We start from the raw sequence: 19,610 nt of genomic DNA, 5'->3' as shown, positions 1-19,610 counted from the left end.
CTTTCTTCCAGTAGCTTCTGACCTCACTTCTTTTCAGTTCCTTTTGCAAGTTTCTTATCCAATCTTTTAATGTGAGAATGTCCCAAGGATAAGTCCTTGGACTTCTTTTAGCTTCATTCCCTAGTGGGCTTACCTAGGCATGTGACCTTAAATACCATGTATATGCTAACGACCAAAAATGTAAATACGAGGTCTGTACCTCTCCCCAGAACTCCAGCCTCTCATATCCACTTATCTATCTGTTATCACCACTTTGATGTCTAAAGGCATCTCAAACTCAACATATCCATAACTAAATCTTCCTTCCAAATCCCATTCAACCAGCAGTCTATCTTATCTCCATTAAGGGCCACTCCATTCTTACAGTAGCTGAAGCCAAATCTTCTTTCTCTCATATTCTATAAATGCAATCTATCAGAAAAGCAAGTAAGCCTCACTGTATACCCAGAATCTGACTACTTCTTAACTCCTCTGAGGCATCAACCTGTTGGGAGTTTCCTTGTCTCACTTGGATCACCGCAGAGACTCCAAAATAACTTCCTTCTTCCATTCACACATCCTTTCCTCAAGAAAGTAAAAACTTAAACAGGACTGAATTAATTCTCTGTTCAAATCCTTCCTACACTCCCATGGACCTCCTCCTCCCATCATTTCACAAGCCCCATCTCCTACTGCACTTTCCTTTGCTCATTCCACATCAGCCAAGTTGACCTCCTCACTGTTCCTTAAGCCAACCAGCCATGCTCCTGCCTCAGGGCCTTTGCACTGGCTGTTCCTTCCACTCTGGCCTCTCTCCTTTGAGATGTTTTCATGGGTTACTCTATTACTTCTTTCATGTCTTTGCTGAAATATCACACTCTTAGTTAGGCCATCCCTAACCTCTGTGTTTCGAACTTCACACCACCTTCCACCTTCAGTACCCCTCTTGCCCACCTTTCTCATTTCTTTTATTCTATACCCCTTTTCACTTTTTGATATGTGATATAAATTATTCATTGATATTTATTATCTGCCTCTCCTCATTTCCACTCCAGTGGAATGTTCAGCTTCAAGGGGGCAGGGACTTTTGTCTGTTTCGTTCACTGTTGTATCTCAGTTTTAGAACAGTATGTGGCAAACAGTAGTCACTCAGTGAATATCTGCTGAATCAATGAATGAATCAATCAATAAATACTATTATAAGGCCAGGTGCAGTGGCTCACACCTGTAATATCAGCACTTCGCGAGGTCAAGGTGAGAGTATTGTTTGAAGCTAGGGGTTTAAGGCCAGCCTAGGCAACAATGCAAGATCCTGACTCTACAAAAGTAAAAATAAAAATTAGCTGGGCACAGTGGCACATGCCTATAGTCATAGCTACTCAGGAGGCTGAGGGGCTGAGACAGGAGAATCACTTGAGCCCTGGAGTTCGAGGCTGCAGTGAGCAAGACCCCAACTCTAAAAAAAATAATAATAATTTAAAAAAATTCTTTAGAAATACTATTATAAGCCTTTTATTTAGGGTTAGGAAGTAATCTCCAGAAGAAGAACTAAAAAATAAAAAGGTCTTTGCTGCTAGTAATAGGCCTGAGTGTGGAGGAGGGTACTTTTCTTTATAAAGTACTTTCTTATACTACTTGATGGTTTTTATCATGTGCATGTATTACTGTGATAAAATTTCAAAAAACTTTTGAATATGCCCCTGTGCCTGGAAAAATCATAGGATAACAATGCAGGAAGCCTAGCCAACAACAATTTGCTTTATAGTAAATTGCTCTAAATCTGTTTTGAGAGCAAACTATTGAATCTGCTAATGGTACATACAGATGGTGCAAAACAATAAACTTCTTTTGGGTGTTGGGTGTAATTTTAAAGAGTATCTTTTATCATGCTTTAAAGCAACTTCAATCTATTTATATGATCAAGCTTCATATTATTATGTTAAGTTCCAAATATTTCACAATGGGTATAAAATGCACAGGGATGTCATTATTCAAGACTTTATATAAAACATGATTTATTGATTCTCTAAATGTGGGTGGAGAAATAATGGAAATAATTTTTCATATGCTGATAACTGACATATGTGAATGCTTGCTAATTTGAGGGAGGTAGGAAGGAAAGGATGGAAGTAACAAAAATAATTTTGTCTAAGGTTGCAAGTGACATAAATTCAAACAATTGCTTTTTCAGTCTTCTGGCTTGCTCTATTCAATGTTTGCTGAGCTTTAGAGAAGGCTGAATCCCACCATGGCAAACTGCCATCTTTGTCAGAAGCAAAGAGCTGTTTACATTCAAGGCACATAATAAGTGCAATGTGAAGTGAAAAACAGTGTGAGTTCTATTATGGCTGATTAGCCCATTGTACACTGTTACAACTAACATCTTCCTTGTGCTAAAAATAGTGTGAAGTCACGGGACCTCAAGCAGCATGATCCATCAGTACTGTACTCTTTCACAAGATTGCCAACAAAAGCTGCCTCTAACTCCCCAGAAAACTAAAAGGGCCACTTATTCACTTCAGTTGTCCTCCAAAATATGTAGTTTATCTGAGCTGTTAGGAAACCTGTCAGAAAATGAGGTGCAGGGAATTGACAGTGTCCAAAAAATAGATTTGTCTTCTCTGCTGTTTCCTTTTGAAAACTAGATCCTTAATACAAGCATCATAAAAGTCAGCTGGTTGCTGTTAAACTTGCATTGTTAGCTGCTTCTTAATCACAGTAGTGGTGGAATTAGTGCATATTTTGATGCATTGGCTACCAGTAGCCCAAACAAATAAATAAATCTCCCTGAAGTGACAGAAACAGGAGGCAGTGGTTTGAATAAACTCTGAGTCCTAGGTCATTTCATCACCAAGTCAATAGCCCTTCTCGTTGAAGGGGGGAAAACAAACTGCTTTCTATTCTATTGAAAGCCTGGAAGAATTTGCACCACAGTAATCCTAAATCCAGAGGCAATCTATTAAGAACTCAGCATTACCAATCCTGAGACTCAACTGATAAGCACATTCTTTTCCCCCCTTCCACATTAATCCTCTTAAAGACTGTGCTAAGTAATGAAAAGGTGCGATGAAAGAGGCCCCCCTTTTTTATTACAACCATATAAACTGCTTGTGTAAATGTTTCATTAACAAACTGCTGGACTCATATTTAATTTCCTTGGCCTTCCTCCCCGTTCCTCCCGGTACGGTGCTCCTGGGTATGGCATGACTAAATGTGTGATTTACACGTTTCAGAGAAACATTCCCACACTTGAATGCTGTAGCATGACAAAGGAAAGGGAGGGGCTGAGAGAGAGGTGTTGAACCTATTGTAGACATTTTAATTTACAATTCTCTTTTTATGGGCTTTAAAAAGATGAATGACTTGCACTCACTTATCAGTTTATGTTTCATTTCTCAGTTCTTTCTAATAAGTACTGGTCTGCATGTAAGTGCCTTTGGCTCACTCATTTGAGGCTGACCCTTTTGAAGACATAGATATTCTAACATACTAAGAAGAAAAGGAAGATGAATTCCAATGTATATCCAGTGTGCAAAGAACTCTTCTGTGAACAACATAAAGGCCAAAATACATGGCTTACCTTTACTTTGAATATGTCAAATGATGCGGGATGTTTTGTGGAAATATACATCCTGTGTTTTTCCCCGAGGTCATCTAGTTACAATCTGATGTTTTGTTGCTTTAGCTAATCTGGTAAATCCTAACAATGCTTTCATTATCTATTTTAATGGTGGCATCTTAGTATAAAATTAACTTTCCTTTCAGACAAGCAAGATATGCCTGTGGCACCTACTGAATTCGTCAATATCCAGTCACAGGATGTATGAATGTAACTTGAAGATACAGAATCAGTCACTTACAAGAGTAGTTTAAGTTAAATCATGATACAGGAAAAACAGGTTATCACATCCAGACGAGTGCCACTGGGCCAAATTCTTAGAAAATGCATTTACCTTGTATTTGAAGAGATTCCAAACTTTGAAAAATTAATACATCAGTAAACCAAATAGAAATGTAGCCTCTTTATAATACAAGCGTCTTTCCCTGGGTGTCATTCATGTAATTTCAGTTTACTGTGAGCACTCCGGCTGCAGCTGGGGTCACTTGGTCTGGGGAAGAACCGTATCTGGGTCAGTGTATGTAGTTTTGTCTCTAGCGGCGACTATGGTCTCGTTTCAAAGTGAATACATTCATCTGGATCAACAATGCCCTGGGGAATAAACGCTTAAATGTATTCAACCTTAGGAAGAGCTGAAAACATCAATACCTTCATAAAGCCACTTTGATTTGTATTGACTATGGTTGTGCTGCTAATTCATATACATCATTGTTTACTTCACAGAGCTTTTAACATGACTTTTGATTTATAGAAAAAAGTGATTCAATTTCTACCAAGAAGTGGTGAGCTCAGACCTCCCCCAGATTCTTACTTTCTCTCTGATGTGACAAAATTGAAAGAGGAACTATCTTGTCACAGCATAAATAAATTGCTGTCAAACAGCTTATGTGCACTTTTCTTTTAACTTTCATGGTCACAGGTAATAGCAAAGTAGAACGTCCAGATTAAGGGGAATCAATTATCTAAGCATGTTATTAATGTGTTCACAGCAAAAACCATTGATTAACACTGGAGCAAAGACTGTGAGCTAGATGCACTTTCTACTTAGAAGATCTGTGTTAGGCAAAGAAGAAAATTCAACGTACACAGCCATATTCTGCCATTTGTTTAGTGACAAGCCCTAAAAGGTTTTGTTTACAGAAACCACTTGGGCAGACTGCAAAGCTCCACAAATAATGGAACCTGCCTTTAGTAAGAGTTTTAGTTTTGTTTATTTGTTTGATGCTATGTCAAATGGAGAGGAAAAATTCTTTTCTAGCAGCTTATTTATTTCTAAGCCATGAAAATAAATGGCTTTAAAACAAGCTAAATGGACTGAAGTGACTAGAACTGGATTTTGTGGTTTATTGATTAGTTCCCAAACTTATATGAGAATTGAAATATCTTGGATTTTCATGTGTTGAAGTCTTATCCAGAAGTGCAGTAGAGCAAAGATGTTCATTTTGTCAAGAAAAATGTTCGTTGCTCAAGAAGTTGCAGGAAAATAATATTTAAGCAGACACAGAATTGAGAATATAAGAAGACAAAATGAGAATATGATAGCTGGTGTCACTTCTTGGCTATGCATAGACCTGAAAGCACAACATATCTATGGCCCAAGAAAAATTCACAGTTCTGATGCAGACAAACTTAGAAAGCCTCGAGACAGCCCAGACTCGTCAGCATCTCACAGTTAATTAAAGAAGTGAGTGAAGGCATCAAGGCTTGCTCCCTTCTGCCTGAATAATTCACTGCCTGTATCCATTATTAAAACCCGTTACTTCACCACAATGATTCCCAGCTCGAGATGGATTGGTCTCAAAACCGGGAGATAAATTGTAACAAGGCCTACAGCTATATTAATAAATTGAAATGAACATTTATTTGCTCATCTAATTAGAACTGTAGTTTTTCCAAATAGTGTAGTAATGCATTACCTTGACAGGCAGCACTACCTACCTTGTGTGAGATAAAATGAACAGGAGGGCTTTGCCCCAGATTTGGGGTTTCTCTGCATAAAAAGTTCTTTGGTCGCTGCTGTTCCTTTTAAACCATTCATTCTGCCACTATGCTCTGCTGATTCTATCTCTCCAGGATTGATGGGAGCTTAGCTTTTGAGGTACTTCATCAGAGGGCTGCAAAGAAATGTGCATATAGAACATGCATTCTTCTTTTGTCCTGTCTCTTTTTAAAGTGTTGCAGAGGAAAAAAAAAAAAAAAGAATTTAAAGATTTTCTTCACCCCCTCCCCATCTCCATTTCCCTTCATCAGGATTACAAAGCCTTATAGCTCAGAGGTTCAAAGGACTTGTGCTTGGGGTCTGGGAGACATAGGTCTGATTCCTGACTCAGTCACTAACTTTATACAGCCTCAGTTGCTCCCTCTGCAAAATGAAAATAATAATTCCGTTTGTGCAGGGTCCATAGGAAGTTTAGAAAAGATATCTGTAAAGTAAGAAACTCAGAGTGGGTTTTTCATCAATGATAAGTGTCATTATTATTCAGCAATTCTTGCTCTTCTGTTTGCAAATTAGATCTTTAAAATCATTTTACCACATTAGCATGGAGGGTCTTTATAATAACACAACCAGCTCTCAATTTCTTAAGGACTCAAATGAATAATGTATTCTATGGACATAAAACTTTTTGATTATGAATTATTTCCACAGCAAAAGTGCTGTCTTCCCCACTGCTAGATTATAAAATCTCAGACAGTAGGTTTTCTGTCTTTTCCCTTCCTCCAGTAGACCTACAACATAGTAGATGCCAGTAACTGTTTTTCTACCAGAATGAGAAGTGTGGCTATTATGTAACCTCTCGTGAAATAAACACTTCTCTGTTGTGCCCTATGAGGCTCTAAAGCATACAGAGGCTAGGTAAGTTGGGCCTTCTTGATTTTATACAGCAGATTCAAATTCATGCTTCTTCAGATTCCAGCCACATGCTCTCATAAGAGGAATATACTTCCTTTCATAAAATTAGCAGAAATGGTATTTACCACTCACTCATTTCAAATTTGAACTCTGGTTTTTGGGTACTTCTCCTTTGATAAAATAAGAATTTTTTGAAAAAAAGTTTCTGGGTTGTCAAAATGAATATCAGGTCCCTTATATGCTCTTTACTTTACAGATAAAGGAATTACTGATGTTTTCTTCCTTGGCAGGTTCCGGCCAAGGCTGCACCATTATAAGGAATAGTATTAGATTTGGCTTAAGAGAAAAAGCACTTCTTGTTTTTCTCCATGTGTTCCAAAACTGATGAGTAGGACGCATTTCACTAAGCCCAAATTCTTTCTGCAAGTAAAATTTAGAAGAAAGGAAAATAATTTGTGAGATATTAAATGCATTACTAAGAGATAGCATGGTGCCCTTTTGCAATGGCTGTGCTTCCAGGACAACAGTATCAATTGAACAAATCAGTCTCAAGTCATAATGTTATCTAAGCACATATGCAAATACAGTGTTTTGTCCTACAGCAGACTCTTAGTCAATAACAAGCAAAAAGAAGCAGGATTCAAAGTAGTCCCTACTTCAGTAATTCCTTACGCTATTTACTCCCTGCACAATAACAGTATTTAAAGACAATATACATTGCAGCACAGTTGTTTTTATAGATTTTCATTAATTTTTTTCTATTGAAAACTAGAGCAAATCTAAGATTAAAAGTCTAGGCCAGGCACAGTGGTTCACGCCTGTAATCCCACCACTTCGGGAGTGGGAGGCAGGTGAATCACTTGACGTCAGGGGTCTGAGACCAGCCTGGCCAACATGGTGAAACCCCATCTCTACTAAAAATACAAAAATTAGCCGAGCATGGTGGCGGGCACCTGTAGTCCCAGCTATTCAGGAGGCTGAGGCGCGAGAATTGCTTGAACCTGGGAGGAGGAGGTTGCAGTGAGCCAAGATCACGCCACTGCACTCCAGCCTGAGGGACAGGGTGAGACTCCGTCTCAAAAAAAAAAAAAAAAAAAAGATTAAAAGTCTAAAGAGTACATAAGGTCATACAGTAAAAGGTAAGAAAAGTCCTTCATTTTTCATAACAGTACAACCAATCCCACTATCTGGTTGTACGCATTATTAATAGTTTCTTGTACAGATGCTCCTTGACTTATGATAAGCGTACATCCTGATAAACCCGCCGTAAACTGAAAATATCGTAAGTCAAAAACGCTTTTTTTTGAGACGCAGTCTCACTCTGTGGCCCAGGCCGGAGTGCAGCGGCATGATCTCTGCTCACTGCAACCTCCGCCTCCCGGGTTCAAGCGATTCTTCTGCCTCAGCCTCCTGAGAGCAGCTGGGATTACAGGCGCACACCACCACGCCCGGCTAATTTTTGTATTTTTTAGTAGAGACGGGGTTTTACCATATTGGCCAGGCTGGTGTCACTTCTGGCCTCAAGTGATTTATCCGCCTTGGCCTCCCAAAGTGCTGAGATTACAGGTATAAGCCACTGTGCCTGACCTAAAAATGTATTTAATGCATCATAACTGAGCCTAACCTACCTTAAATGTGCTTAGAACACTTACATTCGCTTATAATTGGGCAAAATCATCTAGCAATGGCTGTCAAACCATTGTAAGTTGGAGACTGTCACTTTACCTTTCCAGAATCTTCCATATATCATATACATACGATTGCATGCAACTATATCTATGATTTCTGTTTTATTTTACACAAAGGAACTTAAACTTAACATACTGTTTTATAATTTTTTAAAACTTAAAATTATATCTTGTAGATCTTTCCATATAGATGTTTTCTTTTCTTTTTAATTATGCTTTAAGTTCTGGGATACATGTGCAGAACGTGCTGGTTTATTACATAGGTATACATGTGTCATGATGGTTTGCTGCACCCATCAACCCGTCATCTACATTAGGTATTTCTCCTACCTAATGCTATCTCTCCTCTAGCCCCCCACCCGCAGACAGGCCCCCGTGTGTGATGTTCCCCTCCCTGTGTCCATGTGTTCTCATTGTTCAACTCCCACTTATGAGTGAGAACATGTGGTGTTTGGTTTTCTGTTCCTGTGTTAGTTTGCTGAGAATGATGGTTTCCAGCTTCAACCATGTCCCTGCAAAGGACATGAACTCATCCTTTCTTACAGCTGCATAGTATCCCATGGTGTATATGTGTCACATTTTCTTTATCCAGTCTATCACTGGTGGGCATTTGGGTTGGTTCCAAGTCTTTGCTATTGTGAACAATGCTGCAATAAACATATATGTGGATGCGTCTTTAGAGTAGAATGATTTATAATCCTTTGGGTATAAACCCAGTAATGGGATTACTGGGTCAAATGATATTTCTGGTTCTAGATCCTTGAGAAATTACCACACTGTCTTTTACAATGGTTGAACTAATTTACACTCCCACCAACAGTGTAAAAGAGTTCCTATTTCTCCACATCTCGCCAGCATCTGTTGTTTCCTGACTTTTTAACGATCACCATTCTAACTGGCATGTGATGGTATCTCATTGTGGTTTTGATTTGCATTTCTCTAACGACCAGTGATGATGAGATTTTTTTCCTATGTTTGTCGGCTGCATAAATGTCTTCTTTTGAGAAGCGTCTGTTCATATCCTTCATCCACTTTTTGATGGGGTTGTTTTTTGGTTGTAAATTTGTTTAAGTTCTTTGTAGATTCTGTATATTAGCCCTTTGTCAGATGGACAGATTGCAAAAAATTTTTCCCATTTTGCAGGTTGCCTGTTCACTCTGATGATAGTTTCTTTTCCTGTGCAGAAGCTCTTTAATTAGATCTGATTTGTCAATTTTGGCTTTTGTTGCCATTGCTTCTGGTGTTTTAGTCATGAAGTCTTTGTCCATGCCTATGTCCTGAATGGTATTGCCTATGTTTTCTTTGAGGATTTTTATGGTTTGGGGTCTTACGTTTAAATCTTTAATCCATCTTGGGTTAATTTTTGTATAAGGTGTAAGCAAGCAGTCCAGTTTCCGTTTTCTGCATATGGCTAGCCAGTTTTCCCAACACCATTTGTTAAATAGGGAATCCTTTCCCCATTGCTTGTTTTTGTCAGGATTGTCAAAGATGAGATGGTTATAGATGTGTGGCGTTATTTCTAAGGTCTCTGTTCTGTTCCATTGGTCTGTCTGTTTTGGTACCAGTACCATGCTATTTTGGTTACTGTAGCCTTGGAGTATAGCTTGAAGTCAGGTAGCGTGATGCCTCCAGCTTTGTTCTTTTTGCTTAGGATTGTCTTGGCTATACGGGCTCTATTTTGGTTCCATATGAAATTTAAGGTATTTTTTTTTAATTCTATGAAAAAAGTCAATGGTAGCATGATGGGAATAGGACTGAATCTATAAATTACTTTGGGCAATATGGCTATTTTCACAATATTGATTCTTCCTATCCATGAGCATGGAATGTTTTTCCATTTGTTTGTGTCCTCTCTTATTTCCTTGAGCAGTGGTTGGTAGTTCTTCTTGAAGAGGTCCTTCACATCCCTTATAAGTTGTATTCCTAGGTATTTTATTCTTTTTGTAGCAATTGTGAATGGAGTTCACTCGTGATTTGGCTCTCTGTTTGTCTGTTATTGGTATATAGGAATGCTTGTGATTTTTGCACATTGATTTCATATCCTGAGACTGCTGAAATTGCTTAACAGCTAAAGGGTATTTTGGGCTGAGATAATGGGGTTTTCTAAATATACAATCATGTCATCTGCAAACAGAGACAATTTGGCTACCCCTCTTCCTATCTGAATACCCTTTATTTCTTTTTCTTGCCTGATTGCCTTGGCCAGAACTTCCAACACTATGTTGAATAGGAGCGGTGAGAGAGGGCATCCCTGTCTTGTGCCAGTTTTCAAAGGGAATGCTTCCAGCTTTTGCCCATTCAGTATGATATTGGCTGTTTGTTTGCCATAAATAGCTCTTATTATTTTGAAATATGTTCCATCAATACCTAGTTTATTGAGAGTTTTTAGTATGAAGCGGTGTTGAATTTTATCAGAGGCCTTTTCTGCATCTATTGAGATAATCAGGTGGTTTTTGTCTTTGGTTCTGTTTATGTGATGGATTACGTTTATTGACTTGTGTATGTTGAACCAGTCTTGCATCCCAGAGATGAAGCTGACTTGATCATGATGGATAAGCTTTTTGATGTGCTGCTGGATTCGCTTTGCCAGTATTTTATTGAGGATTTTTGCATCGATGTTCATCAGGGATATTGGCCTGAAATTTTCTTGTTTTGTTGTGTCTCTGCCAGGTAACAGGATGATGCTGGCCTCATAAAATGAGTTAGGGAGGAGTCCCTCTTTTTCTATTGTTTGGAATAGTTTCAGAAGGAATGGCACTAGCTCCTCTTTTTACCTCTGGTAGAATTAGGCTGTGAATCTGTCTGGTCCTGGGCTTTTTCTGGTTGGTCGGCTATTAATTACTGCCTCAATTTCAGAAATTGTTACTGGTCTATTCAGGGATTCAGCTTCTTCCTGGTTTAGTCTTGGGAGGGGGTATGTGTTCAGGAATTTATCCATTTCTTCTAGATTTTCTAGTTTATTTGCATAGAGGTGTTTATAGTATTCTCTGATGGTAGTTTGTATTTCTGTGGGATCAGTGGTGATATCCCCTTTATCATTTTCTATTGTGTTTGATTCTTCTCTCTTTTCTTCTTTATTAGTCTGGCTTGTAGTCTATCTATTTTGTTAATCTTTTCAAAAAACCAGCTCCTGGATTCATTGAATACTTTTAAGGGCTTTTCATGTCTCTATCTCCTTCAGTCCTACTCTGCAGATTTGTTTTCTTTTGAGGGTTACATTGTATTTTTTGATAACTATACAATATTGTATTTAACCATTCCTCTTTTGATGGATATTTAAGTTGCTTGAAAGTTTTTGGAACTGTAAATAACGCCTCAGTGGACATACCTGTAGAAACATATTTGCTTACATAATGTTTCAATCAACTGATTTGTCCAATGTGTGGTTTCTAAAATGGATATTACCTATTTTCCTCAAAATGTAGGTTTTAGAAAGGTTTTTCCACTATTTAATAGGATGCTTCTACAAGTCAAGGAATATAATTAACATCCAGTCCAGTAATAGTAAATTATTCTTTAACAATTACCTATGAATTATATTTAAGAACAATTATGCTGTTTGACAAACCTAATTTTCACTCATTGAGTAGAGAATTATTAATCCATCTCATTCAAGACAAAATGCAATGTCTCAGAGTGCAAGGTCTCAGCTCAGTTTGTGCTCAAGGAAGAGCAATTTTAGATGCTAATTAGAACTAAACCTTGAGACATTTCCAGTCTTCAATTTCTTCGAAAGATGTTTTAGGTGTTGCTGTTTTTCTTCATTGGAATTGCCAAAGAACATTCCAACACCATCACTTTTTTCCCCAAATGGAAACACAAAATACAAATATCATGTATTGTGATCTTATTAAAGTTTCATTATAATTTTGAATATAAAGCCAAAGGGAACAAGAACAGTACATAGAGCTTTTTAAGCCCATTTGTTTGTTTCTTTTAGAACAGAAAAAGAAAGCATGGTATGGTCCTAAACTTATAATGGTTTTGATACAGAAGGGAAGTGCTGGGAAGGGAAGGGCATGGTCCCTTTAAATGATACAGAATGGGGGAAGGGAAGTGCTGGGTAGAGGAGGGCATGGTCCCTGGCTAGGGCTCCACTGCCAGGCCTGTACCCGCGGATCAAGGTGAGGACAGGCATTTTTGTTTTCCTGCCCAAATGTTGCATTTCCCTGGAAATGCCTGTAAAAACCCCCAAGACCCTAGCAGGCAGACACACAGGCGGTTGGACGTCAAGAGGAGCACATCAGTGGAGGAACATGCGGGCGGCTGGATGACTAGAGGAACGCACCGACAGGCACTGGCATGTTGGCAGGCCACCGACTGGCAGAATGACACACAGTTTGGCCGGGACAGTTGGAGAGCCCAGGCTGCTGAGCGGCCTGACTCCAGGGTAAAACCATCTCCCTCTGGCTCCCTCATCTGCTGAGAGCTACACTTCCACTCAATCAAACCTTGCACTCATTCTCCAAGCCCACATGATCTGATTCTTGCGGTATACCAAGGCAAGAACCCTGGGATACAGAATGCCCTCTGTCTTCCGATAAGGCAGGGTCCAATTGAGCTAACAGCCGCCTACGGACAGCTAAACTAAAAGAGCACCATATAACACACGCCCACTGGGGCTTGAGCTGTAAAAAACCAGCCCTAGACGCTGCCGTGGGGTTGGAGCCCCACAGCCTGCCCGTCTGTATGCTTCCCTAGAGGTTTGAGCAGTGGGGCACTGAGGAAGTGAGCCACTCCCCCATCGCCCGCTGTGTGAGGGGGACAAGGGAACTTTTCCCATTTCAGTTTCCATTTGGGGTAGAAGAACTGTTGGCATTTCAACACCAAAGGAGCCAATTTCAGTTCTTCTTATCTTCCACAGAAATAGAATTCGTGATTTTTTAGCTGAGAATATAGGAGCCCCGATAAAAAACTTTACAGTAAGGGATGGTCCTATTACTAAATTATGTCTAAAGAGGTGTCTGCAGAAATAATGTGTGCAACTTTGAGATTATGGCTATAGAGGGAAAGATGTGTCCTTTCTTTCCCTCTTTCCCTTCCTATGGTTTAGAGCCATCTGGGATCTTTAAGATAAGGACAATACTTTGGAGACTGAGAAGCAGTAAGATAGAAAGCCAACATGAAGCCATATACCAGGCCTGACCTGCTTATACCTAGACTATTACTAAGAGAGAACTAAGCTTCTATTTTCCTGTACATGGTATTTTGGGTTTCTTTTCCAATGGTCAAACATATATACCAGCAAATAAAAGGCTCCAACTTTCGGAATTCTCGAACAACTTAGATTGCAGGACTTGAGCAAAAGTACCTATCTCAGTAGTATGTTTTATTCCATATCTGTTTTTATACTGTGTGTCTCTTGAATAAGGTACTCTGTCTGAGGGCTTTATTAAAAGAAACAAGAAAGTCCAGCAAATGCCAGCATTCTGTGTGTGCGTCAGTGCACTGTTTTCCTAGAGTCTACAAAAATGTTTGGCCCCATTTAATATGATCACATTCTTTTACCTGCCTGCCTGCAATAACTGCCTTCACTATTCCACCTCTTCCATTGTGGAAATGAGACATTTTATATTCCATTACTTGAAGAACCTCTTCCCACAGTTCTCATCAGCTGTGATACCATATTCTATTTCGGTTAGAAATTACATTTGTCTGTGCAAAACACAAAACTGAAAATTAGTGGCTTGCACAGTGTGTGTGTGTGTGTGTGTGTGTGTGTGTGTGTGTGTGTGTGTGTTGGAATAGGGGGTGGGCGGCTTACATAAAGACAGCCCCAGAGGACCATCACTGCTAACTTGCTAATTATCTTCACCTTTCTCTCATGATCCATTGCCAATTGGTTCCAGCGACTACAGGAGAACACACAAGAGCAAAATGTGCACCTATAGCTTCTTCTGTCCTATTTCTACTAGCTCTAAGTAACCTACTCTTATATACTATTGGCCAGATGTGTGTTATGTGCCCATCTCTAACTACAAAGAAGTCTGAGACTGTGGCTTTTTAATCTGGGCATAGGGCCACTTCCACCAAATCAGGATTTTGGCTGTCAAGAGAGTGTAACAGAAGATTGTTTTATTTCACCTAGGTCATGATCCATTCTAAAATTCAGACATTTTGAGGATTTATTCTTATGGAAGATTTTGTATTGGCCCCATCCAAAAAATACATTCCCTTTATATTTTGCCACATACATACAGAGCAATTAAAGACCAACTAAATGAAATGCTTTTATCAGTAGAATCTCTCATTTGGCATCTTCACTGACACGCTAAAACGACATACATTATTCAGATAGTATAACTTGTTTGTGATCACGTTTCAGAAACAATGTCACGTATGAAAGAGCCACAGATGCCTAACATTCCCTTGTCTGGAAGGCTTCTTTTTGGTCTGAAAGCAGAGGCTCTCATGTGCTCAAAGAAACATTGTAAAAGAAAAAACACAAACCATTTTTCCTTACTCTAACCTCACACTTGTTAACAAAGGATCATGAGATCTTTGGAGGAAAAGGGTAAGCTGTACCTTCTATAACAATAATCTGCAGATTGGGGAGGCACAGCCTTCAGTACAAGTGAGAGTGTGCTCTCCAAAGATCAAAGGGAAGGTCCGGCTTCAACAGGGAACGTTCTCACCCTGGTTCTCAATCAGGTCTATTTTATGCAAATGAAGGATTCAAACTTGTTCAGTTCTGACTGGTCAAAATATTCAAGCCCTGATGGTGTGGTTTCCAAGCCCCAAAGAAGTCTCTGTCAGATATTTCTAGCTATGGGAGGTTGGGGTGGAGAGGGTTCCAGCCACAGTTTATCTTGGCATGGAATACAGGACAACAGTAACTGGTTTGTTTTGATTGTAGAAAAGGAGGTCCTATGACACTTTCACAACATCTTTCTAAGAACACAGAGTATGTGACCCTCACCCAGCAATGGCCCCTTGATTCTGTTTTAATTTTGAGCACCTCAGTTAGCTATAGGGAGTCCATTTTGTCTGTCAGCTGCGGGTACACTTTAACACATTCAACACAGAACTCTTCTGTGACTGGATATGTGAGGATTTTTCCCCACACCAAGCAGTTCTCCACTGGACACCAACTGGAAGTTCTATTAATTCAAGTCAATTCTGACACTATCTAACTGGAGACAATGTCACATCCCACAGGTTAAAGGATCAGTCCCACAAGACTGCCCCCAACTTCAGATGCCAATCAGCAGTCCAGGCCACTCATAGTTCTGACCAACTGGCTATAGCCACAACCCCTTGCTTGGGTTCAATGAATTTGCTAGGATGGCTCACAGAACTCAGGGAAACACTTATATTTGCTGGTTTATTATAAAGGCTATTATAATGGATACAGATGAAATGACAGATGAAGAGATCCATAGGGCGAGGTACGGGGGAAGCGGCATGGAGCTTCCATGAACACCTCCACGTGTTTAGCAACCTGGAAGTTCATCAAATCGTGTTGTTCAAGAGTTTTTATAGAACTTGACCTCAAGCCCTCTCCTTCCCAGAGATACATAATACATGAGTGGGGCTGAGAGTTCCAAACCCCTAATTATCTAATCACCTGGTCTTTCTGGTATCTGGCCCCATCCTGAGGCCATCTAGGGGCCCTACCCTAAGTAATCATTAGCATAAACTCAGGAAGTATCAAAGGGGCTTATTATGAACAACGAAAGATACTCCTATCAGGAAATGCCAGGGGGATTAGGAGCTCTAGGCAGAAACCAGGGACACAGACCAAATGTATTTCATATTATACCATGTATGTCAAACTGCTTTCTGGAAGAAAAATAAAGAAGGGAATGGAAGGGGAAAGGGAAGAGAAGGAAAGGAAGGGGAGGGGAGTGGAAAGAGAACAGTAGACTAAGTGATATGAGTTAGGTTAGGTGAGGTTATCACAGTCTTTATTCTTACAACCCTAGGAGCTGCAGTGAAGAATTTCAATAAAACATGTAGTATTTCCAGCACATTGTTAGTGATGTTCTATGGTCACTATCATTTTTCTCTTTGTGGGAAATTCAATTTGTCCCTATTAAGCCAAGGTCACAGATTGAAGAATCTTAGTGGCCATCCAGGCTCTGCCTTTGAAGCAAAGGGTCAGTGCATTAGTACAAAAGGGAATTAATCCAGTACACTGGCTCACCACACAGTGTTTAATTCATTTAAAAGAAATGACCTATTCTAGGTTTCCATCTGAACAATCAGAAGCCTCCCTTCTCCCAAACAAGAACGTCATTAATGAATATTCAACGGAAAGTATTACTTCATTGTCAGCTCTAATTGCTAGTTTTACCTTATTAGTAGAAGCTTTTCTGTGGCTGAGCCTGACATACATTTGTTTGCACACTGTTATTAGTCAAGACTCAGTGAAGTCTTGTAATTAACACCTCCACATTATCTCATGCAGTGAAAGCAAAGACAAAACCAGATGACTCACTTTGTTTCAGCTTTGCTCTTGTTTTCTGATACAGAAGCACTTAAGGAGAAGTGTAAGCTCATCAGAATGCCATATGGAGCCAACAGAAACCATAAAAGGGTTTTCAGGAAGCAGTGCATGGAAGTTCATTAAGTGAACAACACTATAATCAACATCCTGATTTGAAACTCTTACCGGCTACTAGTAAATTGTGCAGGTACATTACCTGCATCACACTCAGCGCCATCCAGGTCGCTGATGAAGGATCCATGTCCCCAAGAAGCAGGGGAGATAACATATTCTCCGTAAACATAATGAAGTTAATGATTCACATGACAGTTAAATAGCTTTCAGAAATCTTATCAGTTTAGAGATAAAGCAGACCAAGGCAATAAGTGTGTTTTAATCATTCCTACTATTGAAAACACTGTGACTAAAAGCTGGCTTCCAGCAGCCTATAAATGATATTTCCGTAGAAAATGGGGGAGGAGGAGTGGAGGAAATGTCAACAGTTCATATTTTAGTTTTATATTTGGGAAGAGCTCTTTCTCCAAATGTCTCTGTTAAAAATAATTTCTAGCAAAAGAGATTTGAGAAAGCAAGATATCACATTTTTTCCTTTTATAAACTTAGCCTAATTGTCTTATTTTTATTTTTAAATGCAAAAATAAAACACCAAACCTTAAAAGAAATACCATTATCTGAAATTTTAACAATTAAATATACAAAATCTGTCACAGTTTAAAAGAAATAATTGCTTACTTCCTGCTTGCAAGTGTTTCTTTCCTAAAATAATATACACAAGGAGAGAATCAGCTACAATAGGAAAGAGGAATAATATATATGTAATGGTATAATGACCTTCCAATTAGCAAGAACAGTATTCCCAAAGCAATGAAGAATCTGGGCATTAAATTAAAATCATTATTATACAGAATTTGCACGGCTTGAATGGTCAGATTGCAAATCTTATTTACAAGTGGAAACAGGCCAAAAATGTTATGGACCTCTATATACACGAAATTTCCAGTATTACAAAAGTAATCCATCAGAAAGTAACAATCAGGCCGGGAGCGGTGGCTCGCGCCTGTAATCCCAGCACTTTAGGAGGCCGAGATGGGCGGATCGTGAGGTCAGGATATCGAGACCATCCTGGCTAACACAGTGAAACCCCATCTCTACTAAAAATACAAAAAAAAATTAGCCAGGCGTGGTGGCGGGCGCCTGTAGTCCCAGCTACTCAGGAGGCTGAAGCAGGAGAATGGCGTGAACCCGGGAGGCAGAGCTTGCAGTGAGCCGAGATCACGCTACTGCACTCCAACCTGGGCGACAGAGCGAGACTCCGTCTCAAAAAAAAAAGAGTAAGTAACAATCAAAAAGAATGCCTACAAGTTGCCCGACTCTTCTGGAAACATCCTGGTGGGCTTGTAACTAACTGATCATGTCATAAGGAAATCACCCTTTCTTACAGGCATTTTACTTTGTCACCTTTATCATCCAAGTCACAACTCTGTGCAATATTGGTCTATCGTTCTGTGCCAGCACACAAGCTGGTTTATTTTTTTATTTATTTATTTTCATTTATTTTCACGACAGGGTCTCCCTCTGTTGCCCAGGCTGGAGTGCAGCGGCGTGTTCACACCTCACTGTAGCCTCCCACGCTCAAGAGATTCTCCCACCTCAGCCTTCCTAGTACCTGGGACTACAGGTGCCCGCCGCCAAGCCTGGCTAATTTTTGTATTTTTTAATACAGACGGGTTTCACCGTGTTGCTCAGGCTGGTCTCGAACTCCTGAGCTCAGGGATCTGCCCGCCTAGGCCTCCCCAAGTGCTGGGATTACAGACATGAGCCACTGAGCCTGGCCAACAGGCCAGTTTAAATGACTGAGTCACAAATGTTACTACACAGTTGCAATTTGGGAAAATTATTAAATTGGGCAACTTCATGGTAGAGATCCCAGGTATTCTATCCCAACCCCAGCAGTAACTTTCCGTAAAAACCAGCACAGGTTTCAGCAGACAGAACTTTGGCCAGCTCTGTATTTTGCCTCTGCCTAAAAATACTACCATTAAAGCATTTTCACATTTGTGCCACTGTGCATGTTTTGGCTTCAGGTGCCTACTTTGCCCTGTTGGTCCAGTGCTAGCCCTGAGGCTTAGGTTTCTGGCAAATCTATTGCACCAGAAGAGAACAGTCTGAAAATAGAAACATGGACTGTTTTGTCGCCATTGAATGGAAAGGCTAATAATAGCATTGCTTCATTGTTTGGCACTGACTCAAGGCTACCACAGCCAAGGAGCAGCGCGCCCTGCTGCAGTAACCAAATCATAAAGTTTCTCCAGGGAATGGTGCAGCTTTTCAGAACATGTTTTATATTCTGGGATTGCTCAGGAAGGAACTAGTTCAGAAGCCGTTTTGACATAAGTGTGGTTTGTTTCCAATTTAAAGGGAGGGGGAGGGGCTGGAGAGCCAAGCCAGGAGGTCAGTTGCAGAAGGGATGCAAAAATGTCGTTAAGGAGTTCCTGACAGGTGGTGATAGGGCTGTGGCAGTGCAGCCCGAGGCCTGGCAGGGAGTTTGTCCCTGTCAGGTTCTCAGTGTGCTCTCAGGGCTGCCTTCACACTCCTATTATGTTTATTTCTGTTGAACTTAAAGAGTGACCTTTTCAAAACTGCAGTGCATTGTTGACCCACATGCATTTTTGAGACCTAATTTTCCTGAATGCCTTCCTTGTTCCTGCATAAGAGAACTTTGTTAGAGAAAATGGGAAGAGGCTGAGGATAAAGAACACTGGAATGGAAATCTTTCAGGCATTGAATTCTGCCTGCTATTAATAATTTAGAAGTGTTTTTAATGCCCTGATATGGAAGGAAGGTTTTTTGACACCAAAGGCATCTAAATATTAATTTCAGAGGAATTGGTTGTTACAAGCAGTTAACATCCATTTTGTTAGTTGACCTCCCAAGGAAGGTTAATGCACTAAAATCTGGTCATTAAGTATAGTAACAAATGTTTTTTCAGGGAGGTTATTACTATCATAAACTCTAATCCATGGT

General features: G+C 39.8%; 5 annotated features.

The window, feature by feature from the left end:
- Nucleotides 2,369-2,478: an enhancer, noted in NCBI's record as "active region_23020". NCBI's record gives its function as "activates an Ori minimal core promoter by ATAC-STARR-seq in GM12878 lymphoblastoid cells {active_cell/tissue: GM12878}" and the evidence as "EXISTENCE:reporter gene assay evidence [ECO:0000049][PMID:35858748]".
- Nucleotides 4,154-4,243: an enhancer, noted in NCBI's record as "active region_23019". NCBI's record gives its function as "activates an Ori minimal core promoter by ATAC-STARR-seq in GM12878 lymphoblastoid cells {active_cell/tissue: GM12878}" and the evidence as "EXISTENCE:reporter gene assay evidence [ECO:0000049][PMID:35858748]".
- Nucleotides 12,067-12,567: an enhancer, noted in NCBI's record as "H3K4me1 hESC enhancer chr5:124248785-124249285 (GRCh37/hg19 assembly coordinates)". NCBI's record gives its function as "activates a minimal SCP1, AML or CMV promoter by ChIP-STARR-seq in primed H9 embryonic stem cells {active_cell/tissue: H9 hESC(primed)}" and the evidence as "EXISTENCE:reporter gene assay evidence [ECO:0000049][PMID:30033119]".
- Nucleotides 14,634-14,683: an enhancer, noted in NCBI's record as "active region_23018". NCBI's record gives its function as "activates an Ori minimal core promoter by ATAC-STARR-seq in GM12878 lymphoblastoid cells {active_cell/tissue: GM12878}" and the evidence as "EXISTENCE:reporter gene assay evidence [ECO:0000049][PMID:35858748]".
- Nucleotides 18,568-19,352: an enhancer, noted in NCBI's record as "NANOG-H3K4me1 hESC enhancer chr5:124242000-124242784 (GRCh37/hg19 assembly coordinates)". NCBI's record gives its function as "activates a minimal SCP1, AML or CMV promoter by ChIP-STARR-seq in naive H9 embryonic stem cells {active_cell/tissue: H9 hESC(naive)}" and the evidence as "EXISTENCE:reporter gene assay evidence [ECO:0000049][PMID:30033119]".

The sequence above is a fragment of the Homo sapiens genome, chromosome 5 (genome assembly GCF_000001405.40).
Source record: "Homo sapiens chromosome 5, GRCh38.p14 Primary Assembly".
NCBI lineage: Eukaryota > Metazoa > Chordata > Mammalia > Primates > Hominidae > Homo > Homo sapiens.
Note: the sequence above shows the minus strand (reverse complement) of the source record. Positions and strands in the feature narration are given on the sequence as shown.